Source organism: Homo sapiens, chromosome 19 (assembly GCF_000001405.40).
Source record: "Homo sapiens chromosome 19, GRCh38.p14 Primary Assembly".
NCBI lineage: Eukaryota > Metazoa > Chordata > Mammalia > Primates > Hominidae > Homo > Homo sapiens.
Genome location: NC_000019.10, coordinates 7,785,419 through 7,791,978, shown reverse-complemented (window position 1 = coordinate 7,791,978; position 6,560 = coordinate 7,785,419). Strand labels below are relative to the sequence as shown.

Sequence of the window (6,560 nt, the reverse complement as noted above, 5' to 3'; positions counted from 1 at the left end):
CACCCGCCTCGGCCTCCCAAAGTGCTGGGATTACAGGCATGAGCCACCGCGCCAGGCCTAAAATCTTAATTTGTCTTTTCTCATTCTTTGTCACCACTGGACTTTGGCTACCTACGGGTAGTGTTGAGGCTGGACCCCAACAAAAAGTGGCTCCCCCATGCCCATCAGCTACCCGCTCCATGCACGGATCATGTTCCTGTGCCCAGCTAGACCAGAATGTGGAGGTCCTGGGGATAAGGACTGGGTTTGACCCATTCCTGTGTCCCCAGAACCCTCTGAACCACACTCTGTGCCAGGGGGCTGAGAATTTTAACAGTGCTGAGTGGACAACTGCCCCTACCTTCAAGCCCTCCTGGCCTAGTGCAGGTTACCCACTGGGTTTGGAAGCATCATAGGACTATGAGGTCACTTAGAGAGATCAGGGGTCACTCACAAGGTTTACACCAGGGCTTCTGGGATGAAGCTTAGAAGAGCTCACCAGAGGGCCGGGCATGGTGGTTCACACCTGTAATCCCAGCACTTTGGGAGGCTGAGGTGGGTGGATCGATTGAGCTCAGGAGTTTGAGACCAGCATGGGGAACATGGTGAAACCCCATCTCTATAAAAAATACAAAATTGAGCCAGGTGGGGTCGTGCATGCCTCTAATCCCAGCTACTTGGGAGGCTGAGGCAGACAGATCACTTGAGTCCAGGAGTTCGAGACCAGCCTGGGCAACATGGTGAAATCCTGTCTCTACTAAAAAATAAAAAGTTAGCCAGGCATGGTGACACACGCCTGTAATCCCAGGTGCTTGGGAGGCTGAGGCACGAGAATCCCTTGAACCTGGGAGGCGGAGGTTACAGTGAGCTGAGATTGTGCCACTGCACTCCAGCCTGGGTGACAGAGTGAGACTCCATCTCTACATAAATAAATAAATAAATACATACATAAATAAATAAGAGCTCACCAGAGCCAGGAGCCTGGATCCATTTCTCAAACCTTTATTGATGCTCCCCCAGGCTGCAAAGAGAGCTTTGCAGGAAGTACCATTTTCCCCTTTGCGGGAAAGTGCAGGAAAACCAAATAGCTCCATTCCTCAGTTGCCTGACCTTGGCTAGGAGGAGAGGTGGGGTCAGACCACTGGGATCCAGAAATGGAGATTTTGGAGCCAGTGAAGGTTAGGTTAGGTTTGCATGAAGTCAGAGCAGAGGTCCCAGAGTGCAGGCACCGGACAGGGCTGGGCCTGGCCGATTGGTTCTCAGCAGTGGTGGATGGGGAAAAGAAAATCCTTGGCAGTGGGTTCCAGTAGCCGGGATGGTGCACAGCACCCCTTTGGGCACTGGGCACGGCTCTGGGGCACCGGGCGGGGTCAGCACCGTGCCTCTGCTGACAGATCCGGCCAGCCTTCTCATCACGTGGTGGGTCTATCCACAGCCCCATGCCCAGAATCATGACACAGGCCTCGCACCCCCAAAATTCATTGCGTTCCCCCTGTAACCAGTGGCTGCAGTGGTTGAATGGCCGGGCGGGGGGTGATGCTGGGAATCTAAGCTAGGGATGGACCCGGGGCCCCCACTTCCTTCCCAGGCTCTAGCCTGTTTATTGCCTGGGTCTACGCTAGACACCCCAAGTGTCTAACCTGAGTATACACCTGGGATATAACTTACTAACGCCCAGAATTTAACCCAAGGACACTTCCTAGGGTCCAGCCTGCCCATCCCTAAGCATGGAGCCCCAGCCAAGGGGTCCCTGAGATCTGGCCAAAGCATGACTTTTTTTTTTTTTTTTTTTTTTTTTTTTTTTTTTTTTTTTTTTTTTTGAGACGGAGTCTAACTCTGTCTCCCAGGCTGGAGTGCAGTGGCGCAATCTCGGCTCACTGCAACCTCTGCCTCCTGGGTTCAAGTGATTCTCGTGCCTCAGCATCCAGGGTTAGCTGGGATTACAGGCGTGTGCCACCACGCCCGGCTAATTTTTTGTATTTTTAGTAGAGATGGGGTTTCGCCACGTTTCCCATGCTGGTCTTGAACTCCTGACCTCAGGTGATCCGCCCACCTCGGCCTCAAAACATGTCCTCTAGAGTCTAACCTGTGGCCCCCAGGTTTCACCAGGAGCCCTTCCCCTACCTGAAGCTGAGTGGGACTCAGTCCACCCACGAGTAGCCCTGAACCTTGCGCAGGTGTTGCACGGCCCTGCGGCCGATCCAGTATTCACGGGCACTAGTGTCACGACTCAGGAAGTCCTAGAAAGGAGGAGACACCTGAGCCTGCAGAGTCAGACCCGTCCTGCCCCCTCCCCCGGCGCCGCCCCACCGCCCGGCCACGCCCCCTCGGGTGAACGCCGCCTCCTCCTGCGCACCTGCTCCCCCAGGCCCCCTACATCGCCAGATGTGCGCTGGCATCGGCGCAGTGGCCCTGCGCCTCTGCCCACGTGGTCTTCGGCACAGAGAAATAGTAGCAGGAGCCCCCGAAGGGCAGCCACGACGTAGGGCACGGCTCACAGGAACCTGTAGGGTGGCAAGGGTCAGAGAGGTCGAGTGCTTCCAGGGAGAGCGCACCAAGAGGATGCAGGGGGTAGGGGTTTGGCCCCACGGGCTCAGGGGTGGAGCCACAGGACCAGGCCAAGGTCAAAGAGGGGGTCCGGCGACGCACACGGGCAGGGTCCACTTACACCGCACCCCCTCCTACCCCCCCTCACCCTCACTGTTCTGCAGCCTCACGGCCTCCAGCGCCCGGTACAGCTCGGTGCTGACGTCCTCGCGGTCCCTGCCGGCTTCAGCCAAGCCATGGGTCACTGCGGGGTCAAGGGAATGGGGATTTTGGTTGGGCTCAAGGTCAGGACTAGCTAAAGGTCAGGACCCCTGTCCGTGGTCATTGTACCCTCGGTGCCAGCCACCAGGATGGCACAGGGTCAAGGACGGTTACACCTGGGCAGGGTCCGGGTGTGGCCGGCGCTAGGAGTGGCAGTCAAGGTCAGAGTGCAGCGTCAGGGTCAGGACGGGGTGCATGATCAGTGTCAGGGGTCAGCACTCAGGACGGGGTCGGGGTCGGGGTCGGGGGACGCGGCCAGGGCTCAGGGCTGGGGTCGCGTCGGGCCCTCACCGCGCTCACGCAGTTCCCGCAGGGCTCTCTCCTGCTCCATCAGCTTCGCCTGCGCCTCCCCAAGCTCCGCGCTCGTGGTCTGCAGCAGCGCCTGCGTCCCCGAGCCTGGGAGCCGCGGGGTGAGAGGGGCGAGGGAGGCGAGGATGGGGCGGGACTTCGGAGACCAGCCCCCCGCCGCCCCACTCGCCGCAGGCCTCGCCTCCGGCCCCCCTCCCATCCCGGCCACAAGACCCCACCCTTGCGCCCATAGTCTGGGCCGCGCCCCCTCACAGCAGCTGTGGCAGGCTCCCACCTCCTCCTCCAGGGCACCCAGCGCCGCCGTCTGCTTCGAGGCTGGAACGACCCCCATCCCAAAACGCATGCCCGCCGGGTCACTTGGGAGGACTCAGGGGACTCCCTTCCACACCCCGTGGCCAGACTCAGGGACCACAGGGCCCCCACGCACCCAGGACTCCATCTCTGGGGTCTCAGACGCTCCCGCCGCACACGCCCCGGGCGCCCAGGCGCCCGGCTCTGCACACACCGTTTGTCCTCAGCAGGTCCTGGCAGCCGAGCAGCGCCGCGCGCTCCGTGGAGGCTGCGGAGAGAGGCTCCTGCAGGCAAGGCCAGGGACTCGGAAATCCTTCCCTTGCCCGGGGGGTGCGGGGTCCCCCGACTCGGGACCACAGAGCGGGCGGGCAGGCAGGCATATAGCGCACACTATGTGCACACACGCCGATGGGAGACAAACGCGTGGGGACTCGCACACATACGTGCACGCCATGTGCACACGCGTGACTGCAAACGGCCCAAAGATGTACACACACTCTGCTCACGCTCAGACGCGAGCAAGACGCCAGGGCGCAGTTGGTGCGCCATGCAGTGGGGGTTTTGTGTCCCCAGGGGGGCCAGACGCAACCCCTCCCCATTGAGGGTCACTCACCCTTGGACAATAGGATACTCAGAATCACAGCCCACAGTACTGGCGACCAGGACAGCCATGGCCAGGAAGAGGGGTCTCGGGCTCCAGTGCACCCAGCGTCCCCAGTGCCCTGGCAGAACAAGGACGGCATGCTGGGTCCCCCAGGACTGAGCCCTAGAGGCCTGGGTTCCTCTCAGGAAACTGAGTTTCAGAGAGGTTAAGTAACTTGCCTATGGTCACACAGCTTCTAAGTGGCAGAGTTGGAATTGGCCCCTGGTCCAACTGGCTCTGTGTTGTTTTTTTTGCACCCACGACTCTGGCCCGTCTTGGCTCTTCCCTCCCCTCCCCCATCAAACCCCAGACACCGGGGCAGGGATGGGGCAGTCTCCTTGCTCATACCTCCGGGGACCTCCTCGTAGCTCCCGCCCCAGTTGCTGTACCTGGTGGTGTCTATGGCGGTGCAGGCACCGAGACCTGGGCAGAGATATAAATTTCACCCTCGTCCTCACTGGACCTACGCACTCCCTTCCTTCCTTCTCATTTTCTTGGCCTGGATTCCTGGCAACAGGGACCCAAGGACAAATCACAGGGTTGGACCAATCACAGGGTTGGGCCCTTTCTGGGCTGGGCTGGGCTGAGCTGGGCTCGGGGTGAGGTAGTTCCAGCTTCCCGGTCCTCGTCGCTGCAGCTCCATCCCCAGGCTGGTGCTGGAGGCTTCTCTTTGGAGCTTGGACCCCTCTCTTATGGGCCTGGGGCTGGGTTTCCGCCTGAGAGGGACACACTGGACCCGACCAAATTGTAACCCCTGCTGGCTCCTGAGAAAGCCCCCAAGGCGTAGCTCCCCAGGCCAGTTCAGGTCCCTCCTCAGAGGCTGGGTCTGAACCTGACCTTGATTCACTCCCTCTGTGCCAGAAGAGAGCAAACAGAGGTTTTGTTGAGGAGGTGGTCTGCTGAGCTGCAGGACTCTACCACTTGGTGGGTGGCGGATGGGGCTGTGCAGTGTGTAGCTTCAGGAAGCCTCAACTTTCTTTTTCTTTTTTTCTTTTGAGACAGAGTCTCCCTTTGTTGTCCAGGCTGGAGTGCAGTGATGCAATCTCGGCTCACTGCAACCTCCGCCTCCCAAGTTCAAGCGATTCTCCTGCCTCAGCCTCCCAAGTAGCTGGGATTACAGGTGCGTGCCACCACGCTTGGCTAATTTTTGTATTTTTAGTAGAGATGGGGTTTCACCGTGTTGGACAGGCTGGTCTCGAATTCGTGACCTCAGATGATCCGCCTTCCTTGACCTCCCAAAGTGCTGGGATTACAGGTGTGAGCCACGGCGGCCAGCCTAGAAGCCCCAGTTTTCTTTTACCAACCCTGAAAAGAGTACAGTGACGGGGCTTCTCTCAAAGAAACACCGAGAAACAATGAAGTTACGCATGTCTACCCAGAACCATCTCAGGTTCATCAAAAACTCTCAATGTTCATGCATTCTTTCAACAAACATTGAATACCTGCCATGTGCCAGGTATTTTAAAATATTATAACCAGCCGGGCGCGGTGGCTGACGCCTGTAATCCCAGCACTTTGGGAGGCTGAGGTGGGCGGATCACGAGGTCAGGAGATCGAGACCATCCTGGCTAACAAGGTGAAACCCCGTCTCTACTAAAAATACAAAATATTAGCCGGGCATGGTGGCGGGCGACTGTAGTCCCAGCTACACGGGAAGCTGAGGCAGGAGAATGGCGTGAACCCGGGAGGCGGAGCTTGCAGTGAGCCAAGATCGCGCCACTGCACTCCAGCCTCGGGGACACAGCGAGACTCCACCTCAAAAAAAAAAAAATATTATCACCTACATAGAGGAATAAATGTAAAGATTGCAACTACGAAGAGCATTTGCACAGAGTGATTACATTACTAAAATTAATAGAAACAACAAACTAGAAAGTTAATGAAAAATAAAGCCTCTAAAATAGCAACTCAAATTATCGTGTATCTAAGAATCAATAAAGAATGCACCAGAGGCCAGGTGCGGTGGCTCATGCCTGTAATCCCGGCCTTTTGGGAGGCTGAGGCGGGTAGATCGCTTGGGCCCAAGAGTTCAAGACCAGCCTGGGCAACATGGTGAGGCCCTCCTCTCTACAAAAAATACAAAAATTAGTCAAATGTAGTGGCATGCGCCTGTAGTCCCAGCTACTCTGAAGACTGAGGTGGGAGGATCACTTGAGCCCAGGAGTTCGAGGCTCCAGGCTGTAGTGAGCTATGATAGTGCCACTGCACTCTAGCTGGGTAATAGAGGAAGACTGTAAAATAAAAATAAAAAAAATGCACAGGACATATCTGCAGAGAAAAAAATTTAAATTCAATTAGAGAATACTGTAAAAAGGATTTGGATAAAGATAGCTAATGTTTCCAGAGGTCAGAAGAATTAACATAAAAGGGCCAGCCAGGCGCAGTGGCCCACATGTGTAATCCCAGCACTTTGGGAGGCTGAGGCAGGTGGATCACCTGAGGTCAGGAGTTCGAGACCAGCCTGGCCAACATGGTGAAACCTCGTCTCTACTAAAAATACAAATTAGCCAGGCGTGGTGGGCGCCTGTAA

General features: G+C 57.1%; 1 pseudogene across 1 annotated transcript; it reads right to left on the bottom strand.

Annotated features, from left to right (window-relative positions):
- Positions 1-966: 966 nt before the first annotated feature.
- Positions 967-4,495, bottom strand: CLEC4GP1 (C-type lectin domain family 4 member G pseudogene 1; annotated as a pseudogene). Its single transcript, NR_002931.2, has 7 exons — positions 4,420-4,495; positions 4,001-4,109; positions 3,524-3,671; positions 3,079-3,183; positions 2,675-2,770; positions 2,336-2,483; positions 967-2,219 (listed from the first exon to the last, which is right to left on the bottom strand). The product of NR_002931.2 is annotated as a C-type lectin domain family 4 member G pseudogene 1 (transcript).
- Between the last annotated feature and the right edge of the window lie 2,065 nt (positions 4,496-6,560).